The sequence below is a fragment of the Homo sapiens genome, chromosome 12, assembly GCF_000001405.40.
Source record: "Homo sapiens chromosome 12, GRCh38.p14 Primary Assembly".
NCBI lineage: Eukaryota > Metazoa > Chordata > Mammalia > Primates > Hominidae > Homo > Homo sapiens.
The window spans coordinates 31220475-31239528 of record NC_000012.12 but is presented as its reverse complement, the minus strand read 5'-3'; the positions used below and the strand labels follow the sequence as shown (position 1 = coordinate 31239528).

The 19054-nt window shown below is 51.7% G+C and overlaps 1 pseudogene, besides 3 other annotated features; it reads left to right on the top strand.

The window, feature by feature from the left end:
- Window positions 5408–5577: an enhancer, noted in NCBI's record as "experimental_28233 CRE fragment used in MPRA reporter constructs". NCBI's record gives its function as "activates a minimal promoter by MPRAs in K562 erythroleukemia cells, with activity observed for both the introgressed and non-introgressed 12:31386971 variant alleles {active_cell/tissue: K562}" and the evidence as "EXISTENCE:reporter gene assay evidence [ECO:0000049][PMID:34662402]".
- Window positions 10457–11014: a silencer, noted in NCBI's record as "fragment chr12:31381449-31382006 (GRCh37/hg19 assembly coordinates)". NCBI's record gives its function as "represses an EF-1alpha promoter that drives an FKBP-Casp9 reporter gene in an ReSE screen in phorbol 12-myristate 13-acetate-treated (for megakaryocytic differentiation) K562 erythroleukemia cells {active_cell/tissue: K562(+PMA)}" and the evidence as "EXISTENCE:reporter gene assay evidence [ECO:0000049][PMID:32094911]".
- On the top strand, window positions 16453–17128 carry LOC107987168 (uncharacterized; annotated as a pseudogene).
- Window positions 17990–18734: an enhancer, noted in NCBI's record as "OCT4-NANOG-H3K27ac-H3K4me1 hESC enhancer chr12:31373729-31374473 (GRCh37/hg19 assembly coordinates)". NCBI's record gives its function as "activates a minimal SCP1, AML or CMV promoter by ChIP-STARR-seq in naive H9 embryonic stem cells {active_cell/tissue: H9 hESC(naive)}" and the evidence as "EXISTENCE:reporter gene assay evidence [ECO:0000049][PMID:30033119]".

Here is a 19054-nt window from a genome sequence, read left to right as displayed (position 1 = left end):
CCTAGGGAATATTATAGCCAGGAAGCATTGCAATAAAAAAAACTTTTTCTTTTTCACAAGCTCAAAGCTAAAAGCAGCCCAATTCTGCAGAATACATCCTACCGGGCCACAAGGAGGAATAGAGCACACATTTCCCATTTTAGATGACAACCTTAGGTGACAAACCCTTAATGCCTCAGCTGGGCTTTGAACTGTGTTTAAACCAAGTCAAACAATTTTAAACAAGTCCAAAAATTTTAAATGTGATTTCCCAAGGTCCCAGTCCCTTCAGCTGTCTATGGGGTATCTCCCACCCAACGCTCTGAAGAAGCAGAGCGTAATATCTTGCCCAAGCAATGCCAAGATGTCTTGCCAAAGTGGGACCAAATGTCTGAAGGAAAAATACCTTGAGGCCGTTGTCCATGAGCCTGCCACTTAACGGCAGACGTCTTCCCAGCCAAGTGCCTTGTTTTTAACACTGCAATAGTCATAGCACCCCACGGGCCAGTGGTGCCTGGTTATCAGCCAAACACACAGATCCCTGAATGAAATAATTCGGGCAGCCGCTAGATGGGGTCTGAGGGTGACTATGACTAGAGGCTGATGTGCCATAAGCGAGATGCCCACTTCGGACTTTTGTCCCTTCATGGTTGTTAATTGTTTTAGAACTGAACTAGGACCCTTACCAGGCACAATAAAACCAGATTTCTATACGGAGGCTTTGCAGAGATAGAAAGAAAAGCTAAGATCAGGGAAGGAGAGACCAAGGCAGGCTTTTTCATTAGCAATGGTGTTGAGCAGGCAGTTTGGGTAATTTCTTTTCTTTTTTTGAGATAGAGTTTCACTCTTGTTACCCAGGCTGGAGTGCAGTGGTGCGTGCTCGGCTCACTGCAACCTCTGCCTCCTGGGTTCAAGTGATTCTCCTGCCTCAGCCTCTCGAGGAGTTGGGACTATAGGTGTGCGCCACCACGGCTAGCTAATTTTTTGTATTTTTAGTAGAGACGGGGCTGGTCTTGAACTCCTGACCTCAGGTGAACCGCCCGCCTTGGCCTGCCAAAGTGCTGGGATTACAGGCGTGAGCCACTGCGCCTGGCCTGGGTAATTTTCTTCTATACCATCCCAGGTTTAAATTCTGGCCATCCTTCCCTGTCTAGCTGAAATTCCATGGTCTGAATGAAATTTTTGTGTCCCCACTTGCAGGCACCTTACCATCCTCTGAATTTCTCAAGTACACTTTATATCTGTGTTGTCTAAGCAGATGGTTCCTGTCTTTTTCCCTCAACCAGACCATCAGCCCTTTGACGGCTTTCTTTCTATTCTTTTTGACTCCCTTTGTGCCCTCCCCTATTCCCTGACCCACTCCATCCCGTACCAGGCACAGTAATAGATACTCAACAAATATGTCATTAAATTGACTAAACGATCCCCTGCAGCCACATGCACCTGCCTGTGAGCTGGGTGACAGGCTACTTTATTATCTTTCCCATTCTTTATCACATGCCCCCTCCAAAAACAACATTCTAAGTGCTGTATTTCTGGGAGGCTCAGAGACCATTTATTTATTTTTTTAAAGGTTTTTACCTGCATTGTGCAGTGGAGGGGCAAATTCTAGGCCAGACCTGTGGTCAGAGCAGAAACGTAGAGTGGTCTGTGCTGCTCTCAACACTCATTCCAGGATCAGCTGCTGATGGCTGTATCATCTCTGCTGCAAGGCTTTGAGAAGAGCTGTATTCGGGCAGCTCTACAGGAAAAAAAATGTGATCACAGTCTCCCAGGTTTTCTCAGGCAGCAGCAGAAGGTAGTAGCAAACAACCCAGACAGTGGTGACCTGTAGCTGTTTAGGGAAAAATATAGGTGAGTGAATGAAGGAATGAGTGGAAGGAAGGATGGATGAATGAACGAGATCACAAATGAACAGCATGCTGTAGTGGAAAGAAACCTGGAGACATGGGGTTGGCATCCTAACATTTTCCTTATCCTTTGTGTGATGTTGGAAAAATTGCCTGATGTCTTCTCAGTTTCCTCATCTGTAAAGTGGGGCAAAAGTACATACTCCTCAGGGTGGTTGAGAAGATCAAAGGAGATGATGTTTGTGAAAGTACCTACTTCCTTTGAGGCCATGTCTAACGTAACCAGGGTCTCAGTGGACACGTAAGACTGGGTGTGATGGGTACGTGTGTGTCTGTCCCCCACACGTGGGGTTTTAATTGAGTGGGTTTCAATGTGGAAGGTGCCCACTGCATCCTGTCTCCCACCCCGTGATGATCGCCAGCTATTTCAGATGTGGACAGCGGTGTCCCTGGGGGCTGGGCTTGCACTGCAGCTGGAGTTTTAGAGATTCTGCTTTCCTGGTGAGCTCAACTGTGTGAAGGCTGATGGCGGGGTTCGGCCAGTGGCACCATCCGTGTTTGCCTGTGTGGGAAGAGCAGGTGCCAATCTGATGAGCTCTAGGGTCCAGGGCAGGCGGTTTGGCCCAGCTGCCTGCAACAACACTTAATCTGGGAGATCCCAGCTGATTCTCTCAAATGGAGACTTGCTGAGGCCATGCCTCATGTTCCAGGATTCCTGGGGAGCTGCTGAACCTGGGGAGGGGTGGAGGTACCTGACCCAAGTTCCCACAGCTACTCTGTCCCTGTGACTTGAGGTTGCAAACTTCCCCAGGGCTGAGGGCACGCTCTGCTGCTCTGTCTGAACCCCCAGCTCTGCCTCCTGAGCAGATACTGTGTGGCTCTGAACCAGTTGCTTAACGTCTCTGACCTTCACCCTCATTGGTAGACAGAAGACAATAATACCTACCTGAAGAGATTGGTATGATAATTTCATGTTAATTACCATTATTGAGTACTTTCTAAGAGTGCTAAACACTTTATAAACACTTTACAAACATGATTTCAACAGTAAACCTGAGAAAGGCGGTATACTTGCCATTTTACAGCTGAAGCAGCTGAAGCTCAGAGAGGTTAGGTAGCTTTCTCTGGGCCGCACAGCTGGTAGGTTTCAGAGCCCGTTCATACCAGCTGTCTTCCTCTTTGCTGCCCTCAGGTTGCTTCCTGCAGTAGATAAGATGAGATGCGAAGAGCACTCGGCCTGCAGTTGACTGGATCTGAATCTGACAGATCCTGTGGAATTTGCTGAGAGATTGATTGGGACTTTCTGGGGACTGGAAAAAATGGGGATGGGGTAGAGAGGAGATTAGTAAGCCTGGGACTGTGCTCCCCAGCCTTTGTAGGCGAATCATCCGAGTCCGGGCTGTGGGGGATTTTTGGTAGCAGGCTGTTGACTCTTCTCCAGGTTCAGTCGGAGGGGGAGGGCAGGTAATGATGCTGAAGGACACAGCTTGTTCTGCAAATTTGTGAAAAGCTCTGCAGGCTCACATCCCAACGTCATTGGACGTGCTCTGGGTTCCCTGTACTATAGGGAACATTTGAGAAATGTCATATGGATGTGCTTCTGCCATTAGGGAGCGCCCAGTTGTCAGACAGACATGGGCACGCATATGAGTGATTGGGAGCAGCAGCCAAGGCAGTGAGCAGTACGGGGTGAGGATCTGCAGGACAGGAGGTTGCTGCAGGTGACTCATCAGGGAGGGCTTCCTGGAGTAAGTGGGGCTGTGGCTGAAGCATGGGTAGAAGTGACCAGGAGAGGGATGGCAGCTGAGGTAGTGAGATACATCAAAAGAGAGGGCCCTTCCCAAATTTGGGCCAAGGGCTCATTGTATTATCCTGATCGACGTCTCCTTCTTCACATTTTTAAGTATCCCGTGTTGGCCACTCTGACAGGAAGCCACTGACAGAGACCTGGGTCCTGCCTCCTGATGTCTTTCCATCAAAGACAGACAGGCTGGTGCCCACTTATGTGAAATGTCACCTGCAAAACATTCTATGAAGCCATAAGCAGCAGAGAAGGTTCTGGTGCCTGTATTTTCCACCTTCTCCTTATACCAGGGCTACCTGTTGGCCTCAGAACAGAGGGTTCTTCTGGCCGAGAGACTTCAGATGTGGCTTTGCCTTCTTTCCTCCCTCACCAAGGACACTCCCAGTGGACAGCCAGAGCCACTGCAGCCTGTCCCGCCCGAGGCAGGCTGCCGTGGAAGGACTCGTGCTCTCAGTCCACTCTTCTTTCTCTGAGCTTGGCCCACCCTCCTGGTTGGGCTGGAATTGAAAAACTGGCTTTTCTCTCTGGAACAAATGGCGGTTTTATGGCTTAGGGTTTCAGCTCTCTGCAAGTCTCCCCTGTCCCCAGGCACAGAGAGGGCAGTCAGCTTGCCCCCGCCTTCCAAAGCTGGGGGTGGGCATTAGCACAACTCCTTCCAGCTGTCCCTGAGTCCACACAGCCAGCTGCTGCCTGCTGCAAAAGGACATTGATGCCACCGCCATCTGCAGCTCATTTCCCTGGAATCAGCTTTGCAAACAACCTTTTTAATCACGTTTATGACCTCAGCATATAATTGCTGCAGGTTTGAGTTTCCAGTGATGATGAAAAGCTTGGCTATAAAGCCAGCAGGTTGGGTTTCAAAATCTCAGCCTCATTTTGGATCCTTTCCTACCTTTTTCTCTTCCTTCCCTCCTCTTCCCTCCCCCTCTAATCCTCAAGAGGACTAGGATATTCCTTCATTTTCCTGTGCTGTTTATGGTTTACAAAGCACTTCTATTGTTCCTGTAAGGAAGATGCATTATCCCCACTCTATAGGTAGAAAAACTGAGAGTCAGAGAGGCCAAGTGATCTGTCCAAGGCTCCTGGTTAGAAGCAGCTGAGCTAAGCCTGTGATCCTGGTCCTGGATCTGCATCCTTTGTTGCTCTCACTCTGCGGGGCAGCCTTGGTCTGGCTGGCATGACAAATGTCCTTCCCGGGCATCTCAGAGTCCTCTCCTGCCCCACCCCCGGGACATATTGGGCTGATCAGTCTGCAGCTGCCAGGATCCAGCCTGCTTTGTGTTGAATTGTGGTTTGTGGCTTTTATTTGTTCCCACGATGCCCTGTGTGAATGTCACTGAGTTTGTCAGGGCCGGCTCCTTCTCCTTGGCTAGCTAGGAAAACCGAACCCCAGATGGTGCTCTTCCCCAGAAAGCTTGGCCAACTCTCCCATGTCTCATGGGGAGAGCCCTGGCTGGGAGTCGGGACTCCTGGCTTTAGATCCCAAGGCCAACTAGTCTATATTCCCTATTTTAGGGTAAAATCCCTTGCCCTTATTTCCTCACTCAACAATGGAGTTAAAGGTTACCTCTTCAAATCCCAGTCCCTAGTGGGGCAGCGTGAGGGTCCATTGGGAGAGTTAGCAGGGAGCAGCAGCGGATGCACTATTTAGTGCTTAGCTCTTAGGAGCAGGGGGCACCGAAGGTCTTTCGCCCATGGGTGTGCTGGCTGTGCATAGTAAACATGAGTAGCCGGCGGGACTGGCCCGGTGTCTGTACAGCACCTTCATCCCCAAGCTGTTTCCTCACTTCAGGTTCTCTCTGGTTTCCCCCAAAACATGACCACCCCAAAGGAATGACCTCCCAAAGGAGGTCAGGTGGCCATCTTCTCAGCCTGGAGAGGGGTATGTGGGTTCCGCAGGCACCCAGTATGGCAGGACATGGCTGGCATTAGACCTGAGGGCACCCTGATTTGTCCCTTGGTCCTGCCTTCTGTTTTCCAGGCCTGACTGTCATCCTGGGAGAGAAGAGGGCGAGCACACTCTCCTCCCTCATGAAAAAGAGGGAGAAAGGCAAGGCATGGAGGGGTGTGGGTGGAAAGCGAGTGGCAGGGCTGTTTTCACATCCTTGCTGGGAACGCGTGGCAGGAGACTGTCTGACTGGGACGTGGCCCCTGTCTGAGCCAGGCCTGCCTGTGCATGCTGCCTCCCTGACTTCAGCCTCTATTGTCTGTGAAAGGCACACACTTGTACACATGTGCAGAGGGGACGTCCCCTGTTGGTCCTAATTTTTACCCTCATTAATATGATCATCATGGCATCTATATTCCCATTTCCCCAGCCCTCCGTGGTGCCCTGCCAGGCAGCCTGGTCCATGTCCCTGTTCTGCTGCCTGAGGTGGATCCCAGCAAACAGGTTCTGAGGGATGGGGGCTCTCCTTTGTTTGCCTTGTAGAAGTAGCAGCAGCAGTGACTTCTGAACATCTCTTTGGGGGCTCTGCTGGGCTTTCATGTGATGTGAACTGGGTAGGGGTTAGTTGCATAGGTGCAGACAGTGGCGTTGCTGGGGCTGAAACCCAGGAGTCCTGGTTCCTGGTCTGCTCTCTTGGACTTGGTCTTCTTGGAGGGTTATCAGAGCTTCTGACAGGGTCGTGACAAGGAGGGTGAAGAAGAAGGCGATAAGCAAGGAGCTGAGTGGGGGTGAGGAAAACAGCCAGGGATGTGGAAATTGTGAAATGGAATAAAGGCAAAAGAATGCTGGCTGTAGGGCAGGAACAGGGAGGGCATCTCCAAGATAAGAGGTACAGAGAAGTTTGACAAAGAGGGACAGGCATCATGACCTTATGTAGTCCCCCTGTTTCTATTACTCGCCTTTTTCCTCTTAGCTTTTATATATTGTGGGAATATTTAAACATGCACAAAAATATGGTGAATAATGTAGTGAACCCCTATGTCACCCTCACCTGATGCCACATTCTACTGTGACTTTATTCCATCTACTCTCACTCCTTTTTTTTTTCCCTCCTGGAGCATTTTATTTATTTGAGCTGAGGTCTCATTCTGTTTCCCAGTTTGGAGTGCAGTAGTGCGATCTCAGCTCACTGCAACTTCCACCTCCTGGGTTTGATTCTTGTGTCTCAGCCTCCCGAGTAGCTGGGATTACGGGCGTGACACCGCATCTGACTAAGTTTTGTATTTTTAGTAGAGATGGGTTTCACCATGTTGGCCGGACTGGTCTGGAACTCCTGAGCTCCAGTGATCTGCCAGCCTCCTGGAAGATTTTAAAGCAGATTTAAGGAGATACGCAGGTGGGGTATCTCCCTGCATCTTTCCCCGCCTGCTTGTGTCTGGCTGGGTGGATTCACCTGTTCCTGGGCCTGAGTTGATGGGGGTGGTGCTGAGGAATGGTGCTTTCTTCTGGTGGGAGGTAAGTAGGTGCAGAGGCCCTGGGCTTCCTGCTATTAGCCAGCTCTCATTTTCGGAGGTATATACACTCCCCACTGCCAGCCCTCGGAGGAGGGAGGCAAGAGGGATCTAAGCCACGATGCTGCTCTCTGTGTCTTGGGATTTCTCTGAATGACTTTCTTCTCTCAGTCACGTAGCTGCAGGCAGAGCCAGCCACCGCTGAGAGCACCAGCCTTTCCCTGGTGCGGCATGCTAGCCCCTCCCAGCGTCTCTCCTTTCCCCAGCTCTGCATTAGGAAGGACCCTCTTACAAAGCAAGAGAGGTGTTAGACAGCCAGCTTCCTGCTGCCTTCAGTGTATGGGGATGCTGAGCTTATCCCTGGTCTCCTGGGGAGGAAAAGCCAGGATCTTTGGGTCCAGTTCCCTGCCTTCCCACGGTCAGCCCTCAGAGGATGAGGCCCTCTGTAAAGCGTACTCGACGGGAAGACTCGGTCTGACAGGCACACTTTTGGATGCCACACTGGACTTTAGTGACCTAACAATACAGCCCAGTATCACTGGCATCATCCTCTTCCCCCCTTCTCTCCGGGATGGGAGCTCTGCATACTCAGCCCTTTAGTAGTGTCCCCTGTGGTCATTACTGCCCCCTGCTGAGTCCCCTCGGGTGTGTGGCCGTGTGTACCTGCCTCCCCTGTGTCATCCTCACCTGATTCTCATGGGGCCCTGGAAGGAAGTGATGACTGTTTCATTTTATAGCTCCACAGCAGATGACACCCAAGGTAAGAGCGGTTAAGTTACTTTGCCAAGGTCACATGGCTGGTCCATGAGGGAGGAGACATTTAAACCCAGGGCTGTCTGGCTTGGAACCTCTGCTTCTCACGCTATGCCAGCCTGTCTCTACTGCACTGTGGTATTAACCACGAGCACAATATTAACTGCTGTGGTTTAATGTGTGTTTTATATATTACAGCAATGGCACTAAGATGGCAAGGATGTTTGAGAGTTGTGGCTTGCTGGTTGTTGCTGTAACTAGGTTTGTACATGAAATATTAGCAATCAATAAACATGAGAAGGAATGCAGAACATCACTAGTAATCAAAGAAATCCAAATTATGGCAACAATAGTATACTACTTTTTGCCTTTCTTTTTTCTTTATTATTATTCTTTTTTTTATAGAGATAGGATCTCACCTTGTTGCTCAGGCTGGAGTGCAGTGGTGCAATCATAGCTACTGCAGGCTCAAATTTCTGGCCTCAAGTGATTCTTCTGCCTCAGCCTCCCTAGTAGCTGGGACTACAGGTGCATGCCATCTTGCCTTCCAAATGTGCACAGATTTTTAAGCTGATAACTGCTAACATGATGCAGCCCTCTACTCCAGCACTGGTGGAGTATAGCGTGTCAAAACCTTTGAGAAAAGCCTCTTTGCAAAGGGTACTACAAGCCTTAAGAACTAAGGCTAAGGGCACTAAAGGCATATCTTTGGACCAGTAACTGCACTTCTAAAACTCCATATTAAGAAAATAATAAGAAAAGCTATCAAATATCTTATGTGTTAGAGTGCTCATTAAAGAGCAATTTATAATAAAGGAAAATCAAAAACAATTTAAATTTCTTACATTATGGGAACATTTTATTTATTTACTTTTTATTTTTTGGGACAGAGTCTCACTATGTTGCCAGGTTAACATGCAATTGTGTGATCTCAGCTCACTGCAACCTCTGCCTCCCAGGTTCAAGCAATTCTCCTGCCTCAGCCTCTTGAGTAGCTAGGATTACATGTGCATGCCAGCATGCCCAGCTAATTTTTGTATTTTTAGTAGGCATGGGGTTTCACCATGTTGGCCAGGCTAGTCTTGAACTCCTGACCATGTGATCCACCCACCTTGGCCTCCCAAAGTGCTGGGATTACAGGCATGAGCCATTGCACCTGGCCCATTAGGGGAACATTTTAAATAAAGTATGGTATGTGCATGGATGAGTGGGTTTGGGAAACTATTAAATGACACAGGGAAAATGTTCTCAATGCACTGTGAAGTTTACATACTATGTATATATGTATAATTATGTATTGTATTACCAACATACATGCCTTAAAGTTTTCTCTTTTTATTTATTTATTAATTTATTTTTTGAGACAGGGTCTGGCTCTGTTGCCCGGGCTGGAGGTGTAGTGGCACCATCTCAGCTCACTGTAGCTTTAATCTCCTGGACTCAAGCCTCAGCCTCCCCAGTAGCTGGGATTACAGGTGCGCACCAACATGCCTAGCTAATTTTTGTGGTTTTTGTAGAGACAGGTTTCGCCATGTTGTCCAGACTTGTCTCAGACTCCTGGGCTTAAGCGACTCACCCACCTCAGCCTCCCAAAGTGCTGGGATTATAGGCGTGAGCCACAACTCCCAGCTTTAAGTTTGCTCTTTTTGGTGTACAGTTCTTGGAGTTTTAAAAAACACATACAGTTGCAGGTGTGTCCATGTAATTTCAAGTGAGGAAAAATAGAATACAGTATTTTCCTAAGTTTTGAAAACATATATGTTTTCCTCATATGGCTGGAAGGAGAGCACTAAAGAGTAATCAAAGTAAGTGGACCTGGCTTAGTGGCCCTGGAGAAATGGCGTGCAAAATTTTAAACAAACATTTTCCTCCTGGGCCTCAGTTTGTTTTCCATGAGATACCATGAGTGCCCTCAGTCCTGCTGTAGTCAGTGTGGTAGGTGTGGGCTCCAGGCCACGATAGGCCCTGACTGTGGGCAGAGGCCCCAGACTTACCAGTGTGCCCAGTGGGGCTGGAGAGGCGGTGGGGCATGGCCAGCCTGGGGCTCTGGTGTGTGTCTCTTGGCTCAGTATAGAATGAAAGGCTGCCAGCCGGGGCCGTGTCCTGGCTGGAGAGCAGTGGAGGGCAAAGTCCTCTCCCTGCACCCTCCTCACTGTCTCTGCCAGGCAGCTGCTTCAGAGTTGGGGCCCAGGAGGTAGAGGGCTCCTAGAGAAGAAGTCTGCCAGTTCCCTTAAAGAACTAGAATCCTCCGTCTTCTTCTGGGTGGGGTCAGCTAATCAGGCGAGCCAACATTCTGCTGCCCAGCCCTCTCGCCGCCCCCCTGCCTCCTCTGGTTCCCGAGGCTGGCTTCATGGATCCCCTCTCAGAGCTTCCTTGGTCCCGTGAGGGTGGCGTTATTCTTACTTTGTTCCCAGTAGGGAGAAGCCTTTGTGTGTAGTTGGCTGAGCATCTAGAAGCTGCTCTTTCAAAGTCACTAGCCGGGGTGGGATGAGGATGGGCTGCTTTAGGGCCAGGGGGCCCTTGCCAGCAGCCTGGGAGGGGCTCTGCCACTTGCCCTGCTCTAGGTTGTTTTGGGCATGGCCCAGGCCCTGGACATGCCTTCTGTCCAATGCCTGGAGCCCTGGGATGCCACCCAGTCTGTCCCCTGTCCCCTCCTCCATCCACCAGTGAGCACGGCTCCCATTCTGCAGATAAGGAGCAACAGCCTAGACATGCGACACAGCCTGCCCAAGCTCCCATGGCCAGTTCTGGAAAGAGCCCAGAGTAGAATCTGGGTGCCCCGATGGCCAGGAGTTTTCTTTCCCCTTTGCCTGCCAGCAGAGGATGTAACAGACGAACAAGGGGCTCCAGTAGTCGCTGGGCTTGACCCAGGCCCGGGGCCTTTCCTTCTATGGCGGCCGCACCCGTACCTCACGCACATTCCCAATTGCGCAGAAGTGAAGTGTGGGCCTGTCCTAGAGGGACTCTGAGGCAGGGTATTCAGCCAGGAGTTCTGTGGAGAACTGGGTCCCCAGAGGCCTCGTAGCACAGCCTCTGAATCAGCCTGAGAAAGCTGGGGTGTGGGTGGTATATTTGGGGGAATGAAGGAGGCTATCATTGTTGAGTCTTAAAAACCAAAGCAGAGGCCGGGCATGGTGGCTCACACCTGTAATCCCAGCACTTTGGGAGGCTGAGGCGGGTGGATAACCTGAGGTTGGGAGTTCGAGACCAGCCTGACCAACATGGAGAAACCCCATATCTACTAAAAATACAAAATTAGCCGGGCATCCTGTAATCCCAGCTACTTGGGAGGCTGAGGCAGGATAATCGCTTGAACCTGGGAGGCGGAGGTTGTGGTGAGCCGAGATTGTGCCACTGCACTCCAGCCTGGACAACAAGAGCAAAACTCCATCTCAGGAAATCAAACAAACAAACAAACAAACACAAAAACCAAAGCAGAAAAAAATAACTGAATACAGAGGCGTCCCTGCAAGCCTGTCATAAGGATGTTTGTTTCTCATGAGCTTTTCCACCTTCTTCCTTGTTGCGAGTGGCTGCGCAGTGGTTGATTTCCATGTCTTATTGTCTGCTGGGCTCAGCCATCATGTGGTGGTGACCCCACTGCCATCACAGCCACCGTTTGTGGAGCATCTCTCATAGGCCAGGCGTGGAGCGGGGTGCTTTACCACCTCACTGAATTTCCGATACAACCCCAGGAGGTGGGAGCTCCTGTTTGTTGTTCCTATTTTGCACATAAGGGGGCTCAGAGTAGTTAAGTAAGTTGCTCGCGTTCCACAGCAGTTTGTGGGGCACCAGCTCTGGCTGACTTGAGGTCCTCACTCTTCCTCAGGGCTGTACTGATCCCTTCCTCCTCACATGGCTGAGCCCTGAGCCCAGGAGATAGAGCTGTTGGCTAAGCAGCTTAGTGTGTGCCCAGATCACAGCAGGAGAAGCAGCCAGGCCTCTGCCCCTCCACTCTCACCCTCCCTGGCTCCCTTTCCATGGGCTGGCCTTGCATGGGTTTGGCTGAGGAGGGCAGCGAAGGCCCCGTTGGTTTCCTGTTTCCTCTGAAGTGAGCTGTTGGGCAGACGGAGAGCCCAAGCCAGGTGCCAGCAATGGGCGGCAAAGGGGCGAGAGGTGACTGAGCTCAAGGGCACCGCCTTTGAGAAGCCAGCTCTGATCGTGCTGTCCTGAGGCTCCACTGTGCTCACAGGCTCTCTCGCTGGGAACCAAGGGCTTACCAGCTGGCCTTGGCTGTCAGTTGTAAGTTCTCTGGTGCCTGGCACCTGGGGCGAGGCTGTCCTTACAGCTTGTCCATCGGAACTGCTGGGTGTAAGTGTTAGCAACAGGGCCTGTCTGGGGGCACCTTGCCCCAAACAGTGCACTCCAAGGTGGAGGGTGCTTACGTGATGCTGTTTTTGACCCCAGCAGTCTGCGCAGAGGCAGGGAGATGACTATGTCTATGACTTAGGCTTCTTGACCCAGAGTCCCGTCCCCTCCCCAAGAGACTGTCAGCCACATGGACCCTGGTCCCTGTGGATGAACAAGTCCAGGCTGGCCTCATCCTCTTCCTGGGCCTCCTTTTCTTTCCCTGAACTTCCAAAGCCCCTCAACCATTTCCCCAAAGCCTGTGGACATCTCGGGAGGTGAGGAAGGTAGAATTCCCACCCGCTACCTCTCTGTCCCAGTGGGCAGGAGGCCAGGTCCTTCTCTGCCAGCCGCAGCCCTGGAGCTGGGTCCCAGCCCTCCCTCGATGGCACGAGGTGCACAGTTGGGAGGAGCAGAGGCAGCTGGTGGTGTGGGCTGGGGCCTCTGAGGAGTGGCCTGGCGAGCTCTCCTTTGGGAAGACATGCCCTCCAGTCACCTCCTGCCCACCAGACCCTGTGCTCACAGACAGCGAGCGCCAGTGGCAGCAGGTCCTGCCAGATGGCAAGGCCCCAGCTGCCCCTGTAACCGGGACCATGTGGTGGCTGGTCTCTTTAGTCACAGTGTGAGAGCCGGCTAATGTGGGAAGAGGGTTCACAGCGGCCAGTTCCTGCTGGAGTAGCAGAGAAAGGAGCGCGTGTGGTTCACTAGGCTCACACCACCCCAGCCAGGCTCAGGAGATGATTCCTGTGGAGTCAGTAGCCTTGGGGGCTTCCTTGCCAGGGCTCTCCCCTCCCCTTCCCCTCCTAGGGCAGTTGACCTGGTGGCCTCATCTCTCAGCATCCAGCAGCCTGCCTTGGGAGCTTAGGGGCCTCTTCTGCTGAGCCTCTCTCCCTCTTTGTGCCTTCCTTCTTGACCCTAAGAAGAAGGGCACTGGGTCTTTCCAAGGACTCCGGTAGCTCAGCTCACCTAGGTGCTCAGTGATCCTGGGAAGAATAGCAAACACCACCCACACCCCCAGGCCCTGCTCCCCTCCAGCCTAGGCAGGTGCATTCCCTCTGCTGCTCACTGGCAGTGCCTGGTTCTGGAACTCAGCACACACAAGGGCAGGGCTGGCTTAAAGGTTTTCATTTTAAGTCTCTTAAAATTAAAGGATTTTATTTTAAAGAAATTAAAATTTCTTCCATTTCTCTGAAGGAATGAGGCCTACCCATGCTAGGTAGGCAGCTCCATCAGGCCTGGTGGTAGGGGCCGTCTGTGGAGGTCAGGAGTGTACCCGCATGCCTGCTCCCCTCCACAGCACATTGTGGTTCTCCCACGAGTTTATCTGAGTTCTCCTGGTCTCAGCCATGTTTTATCCTGTGTCATCCCCACGGTAAGGAACTCCTTGCCTTTGCCCGTTGTGTAAAACTCAACTGCCGTTTATTTGTCCTTAGATCATTCTTTTGAGCTTCAAGGGATGCCTGGGGTTCTGTTTCAGGTCTGTGTCAGTTCTCTTTATTGTCCTTTGTGATTTTGCAGACTTGATCCAATGCCATCAGTCCTGTTTTTCCAGAATGGAGTTCCTGGCTTTTTGTATTCACCCGTCATGTCTCACCATTTCATGTGCCTCTTGGATGTCTGGTGTGCTTCATGTGTCAGAGTGAGTCTCCCCAGTAGAGTTGGGGTGCCCTGAAGGCAGGGCCTTTATCCCCCTTTCCTAGATCCACCTGCAGCCACACACACAGGAAGACCTTCCCACCGCACAGATAGACTCGAGAAGCCCCGTCTCTGCTCCCATTCTAGTCCCAGCCGGACCATGCTGAGGTCAGCTTCTTAGTGGCCACAGACATTGCCCATCCCAGGTTGGCTCAAGGCACCAGGTCCATGACACCAGAACCCTTTCCCGCTGCTGTGACAGGAGTGCTGAAGGTGTGCAGAGCTGGGCTCTTGGACTTCTTCTGTGTGATTGTTGGCTGCCAGGCTCAGGGAGCAGCCAGGTTAGTGGCCGTGATAGGCACAGCAGCCCTGAGGAAGGGCCTTGGATGCTGGGAGGGACTGAGGTGATAGGGTAGCCTATGGGGGTGGCACCAGGCTCTCTTCCATGCACCGCCTCATCTCCTGTCTGCTTCCCCTCCCTTCTCAGCTCCCTTTCTTCCTCATTGTTCTCCTCTTCCTTCCCTGCTGTGCTTTGGGAGTTATCTCAGTCGCAGGCATGCCCTCCCGCCACCCCATCTCCAGGAGAGAGCTCGGAAGAAATTCCTCATTGTTGGCTTCATACTGCCATGGGTTACTTAGAGGCTGGGGCATTTTTGAGATCAAAGGCTGCCGTTAGAGATGGTCAGAGAGCATTGGTGGCATGCAGAGCCACAGCAGAGACCACCTCCAGGACTAAGGAAGGGAGATGACAGTAAGTGTGCACCTGCTGTGTGACACATGCTGTCCACAGGGCCTGGAATCTGGCAGCAGAGGGAGCTGGGTGCTGTGGCCTTCCCAGCAATGAGCTGCCCTGGGGATGAAATCCCTGCACTGTGACACCCTCCTTGGTGTGAGTGTACCATGGGGTCTGAAGGAGGAGGGGGCAAGGTTGAGGGCTCTGAGTGGCTGATCTTGACAGATGATGGATGTGTCTGAGAGGGGAGAAGGCCCAGCCTTGCATTCTTGGGAACAGGTGCTGATTGCCTTCAGGGCTCCAGCCTCTTTTCTTGGCCTTTTCAATGCTCAGACATCCTCTTCCTTGCCCTCACCCCTGCTCTTCCCACATCTTCAAAGCTGAAGGAGTCTCCTTATTCTGGAGGTGAGGAGCAGTGAGGGAGAACTGCCTGTAAGTCAGCAGAGAACTGGACAAGGGTGCCTAGCCTTGCGCCTGGGTCAGGTCTGCAGGTGCCTTCTACACCAACCTTGTGCCTAAGTGCCAGGTTTCCAGCTAAATGCTCAACACATTTCTTCACCAAAAAGAGAGCTGAAATGAATGACTGTGGGGTTCTGTCTTGTCCATTCTGATAATGATAACAATGATGACAACAGCATCCAACACCTGTAGAATGTTCACTAGCCACCAGGCACTGTTTCTTATGTTAACTTAGTTTTTCTTTGCAATGATCTTGAAGGGATACATTTAACATATATGAAAAATGAGTTGCAGATGAATTGAGTCGCCAAGGGCTCTGTTTACAAGCATGCCTCCCCACCATCCTGTCCTTAAAATAGTGATTCCAAGTTAGTTTTCATTAATGATCCATGAGTGATGGCCAGCATGCAGCACCTAGTTTCATGTGGACATTTCTCTCTCTGGTTTATGACCACTGCACGGGGTGGATGGTTATTATTATTGGGAATAACCGTGTATCAGAGTGCAGCTCTTAGCCTGGAGAATGGGAAATGGAAAGGACCAGAGATTCAAAGAAGGCAATTTACCCAAGGTCACACAGCCCTTTAAGGCCAAGTAGAGCCTCCTAAGCATTTCTTGCCACACTCTCCCAGGCCCACCCACACCTCTGTTGCAATGGAGGGCCCCACTACCCAGGAGAGCAGGTCTAGGGCACAGTGCCAAGCCTGATGAATGTCCTTCATACCCTTTTCAAACAACAGGCTACGATTAGGCCTAATTATAGGGGCCTGGTCCCTTAATATTCTTCCTGGCATGTCTCTTGCCAATCAAATCAGTGCCATCTGCAGTGTGATTCCTGCTTTAGTGGCATCAAGGGGAGGAGTTAATTCAACCCAATGTAAATAGATTCTGCCCTCACTTTGCAATTTAAGGAGTGTTTTTCCCTCCTGTCCCGCACCCCCACATGCACCTCCTTCCTTCTGGCTCCCTAAGCTCTAGCCTGGGTGAGCAGGGTCTGGACACTCTATACCTAGAGTCACTAGCCACTGCCCAGTCTGTGTCAGAAGCAGGCCTCGAATTCCTCAGGGTTAGAGTGGGAAGAACCCATGTGTGCACATTTGCGTTTCCAACCTGGGCACCATTTGGCAGCTGATTCGGGCAATTCTCTCACCACCACCACCCTGCCCATGTACCCCTGTTTCCAGCCTCTATTTCCCTCTTCAGCCAGGGATCCTTTCTTGTGTACCCAAGGTGAGGAGCTGAACTGAGATCGTGTATGGACAGGGTTCCTGGCAGGTACCCAGCACCTTATAAGGATTGAAGAAATGTTGCCTCTTCTCCGAGCTCCTCCATTGTCCCTACCAAATCCCCAGTCCCTTGTCCTGCCCCCTCCCTCCCTCATTCACTCAGCAGGCATCAGCAGAATCCCATCTCCTATGAGCTCCTGGCCTCCCACCAAATGCTTTGTCTCCCATCCCCCTCCCCACCTCCCCGAAGCTGTGCACACAGTTGGGATGAGGGCTGTGCTGTCTCAACACCATGCTACCTGTGGTGAGTGGGTGCCGGTGGGCGTGGGTGGCTCTGATGCTACCCACAGGCACCACGACTCCTGCGAGGACCCAGCATTCCCTGGCAGGTCAGACCTATGCCTTGCCCGTCATCCCACCAGACCTGCAGTGAGAGGAGACCGTCCGGCAGGTGGCAGATGCCTGGCAGTGCCTGCAGAAGGTCTCCAGAGACATCTTCAGTAGGTGGGAGCTGCCACCCACCCCCACCTGATCAGAGGGGGTGGTTCTGGGCAGTCCTCTCTCCAGTCCCAGCAATACACCCTCTGGGAGCAGCCCCTTTGGGGATTCCTGGTCCTGGAAGACCCAGCTGTCTTCCCTGGGTGGGAGGGGCCAAGGTGAGAGCCCAGCTTGGAAGCTTTTGCTCCTGAGAGCCTGAGAGCTCACTGCCTTCCACCCCACTTTGCCCCCTGGTTTCCTGTGGTGGCTCTGCTCTCCCAACTCACGCTCTTCCTCCCACGGCGAGGGGGCTAGTCCTTCACTCTTTCCTGCAGCCAGAAAATATTTACCCAACAGTGACTGTGAGCGAGGCACTGAGCAAATCTCTATAGATCCAGTGATGAATAAGGCAGCGTCCCTGTCCAACTGGAGTGCATATTCTGGCAGGAGAGACAGACCTAAATAACCAATGCATGAGCAGTTGTTTAGTTACAGTTGTGATAAAGCCTATTTATAATATTCACTAATATGCATATAGCATTAACCATGCTCCACCATTGATCTGAGTGCCTTAACTCATTTAACCCTCACCACATTTTATGAGCAGGCACTGCTGTTATCTCCATTTTATAGATGAGGAAACCGAGGCACAGAAAGACAGAGACTTAGCTGAGTGGCAGAGCCAGGGTTCAAAGCCAGGGATCGTGGCCCTGGGTTCTGTGGGTTATGATCACCTCTGTGGAGGGGAGATGAGGTTCTGCGAGGCTCATCATGGGGGGCCTGGCTGGGTCAGGGAAGGTGGATGTGAGGAAATAGCATTTGTGGTAAAACCTGAGGGTGAGTGGGTAGGTCAGGGAGAACATTCCAGAAAGAAGGAAGCACATGACCTACAGCCCTGAGGTGGAGGACCTGAAAGGAGGCCAGTGTGGCTGCAGCGCAGAGAGGCCGTTGAGGAAGCCGAGCTGGAGGGCTGCAGTTCTTGTATCGGCAGCGCTGACCCCGCACAGTCCTTTGGCTCCAGTGACTTTTCACTCAGTGTTTATCTAACTCGAGTGAGTGAATAGTGTTTGCTGTTTCCTGCAAAGGTCCCAGGGGTTGTTGGGTACACAGGTCCTGTCTTTGGCCGCAAGCAACCTGAAATGAGGCTTGGTCTTCTTCCCGGGACCTCAGGCTGTGCCTCTTGAGGGACCCCAGCACGAAGTATGTGACTGCCTGACTCAGATCCCTCTCCTGATGCAAGCCACCCTCACCCTGGCCCACACCTGATTGTCACCAGACCTGGAGTCCCTGCTCCTTCACTGTGCAGCCTCCTCTTCTGTCATGAACTGGAAGCCCACCTCTTCCTGGAAGCCCTCCCAAACTAAAAAATGGGGGATGAAGCATAGTCATTGCCTCCAGATCCTCTTAACTATTCTGCCTCTCCCCTGCCCACTGACTCACTGGCCTGCTTCAAGCCTGTCTAGAAAGTCCCTGTAAACAAGAGGCTTTGCACTGAACTGGCTGAGAGGTTGCCTTGGAGCTGATGCCTTGGCTCAAATCTGGCTTCCCTGTTTGCTTGCTCTGTTCCCTTGGCAACTTACTCAATCCCTCTAAGCCTCAATGTCCTCATCTGTGAAACTGTGGTAATCATGGCATCTTCCTGATAGAACTGTTGCAAAGATTACATAAATTAAAACATGCAAAGGAATGGAACAGTGCCTGGCACCTAGGAAGCCTTCAGGAAATGCTAGCTCTTGCCTGTTGATAATCTCTACTCGTTGACTGCCCATTGAATGGTGGCCATTCATCAACTTGCTACCAACAGTTACAGAAAGTGTTGGACGCTCCTTTGTGCTTATTGTTATGCTAAATGTGCCCAAGGGATGCCTCGGCAAGAGGACGGAAGTCTTTAAGAGCCATCAGCCCCTGATTATGGCCGCCTCATGTCCAACGCTTGGAATGGAGGGGAAAACTATTCCCTCAGAAACTGTTTCCTCATCAAGATGAGGACTGCATGCTTGCCCTTCTCTGAGGGCAGCCTTAGATTTTGGTGGCTTTCCTTTCCCATCCTGGTACTAGGCACCTGTAGACAGTTGCATGTCCCCTGCCCAGGGATGGGATGAGGAGAAGGCAGGAAGGCATATCCTGGGGAAGGGAGTGCTGAGTTCGTTGAGAGTGGGTGCAGGTTCTCCAAGTGGCTCGCATGGCCCAGGGAGGGGAGGATGTCTCTCAGGAATCCTGGGCCTGTGTCCCAGCTCCCTCACACCTGAGTTCCAGGTCACCACATCCATCTCCCACCGTGTGCTCCCCATTGTGCTGGACCCTGAGAGACACCAAAGATGTGGCCAACACGGTGTCCTTAGGAGCTTAGAGGCCGGAATGGGAGAGCACAGGGCGAGGCTGATTCTTCATT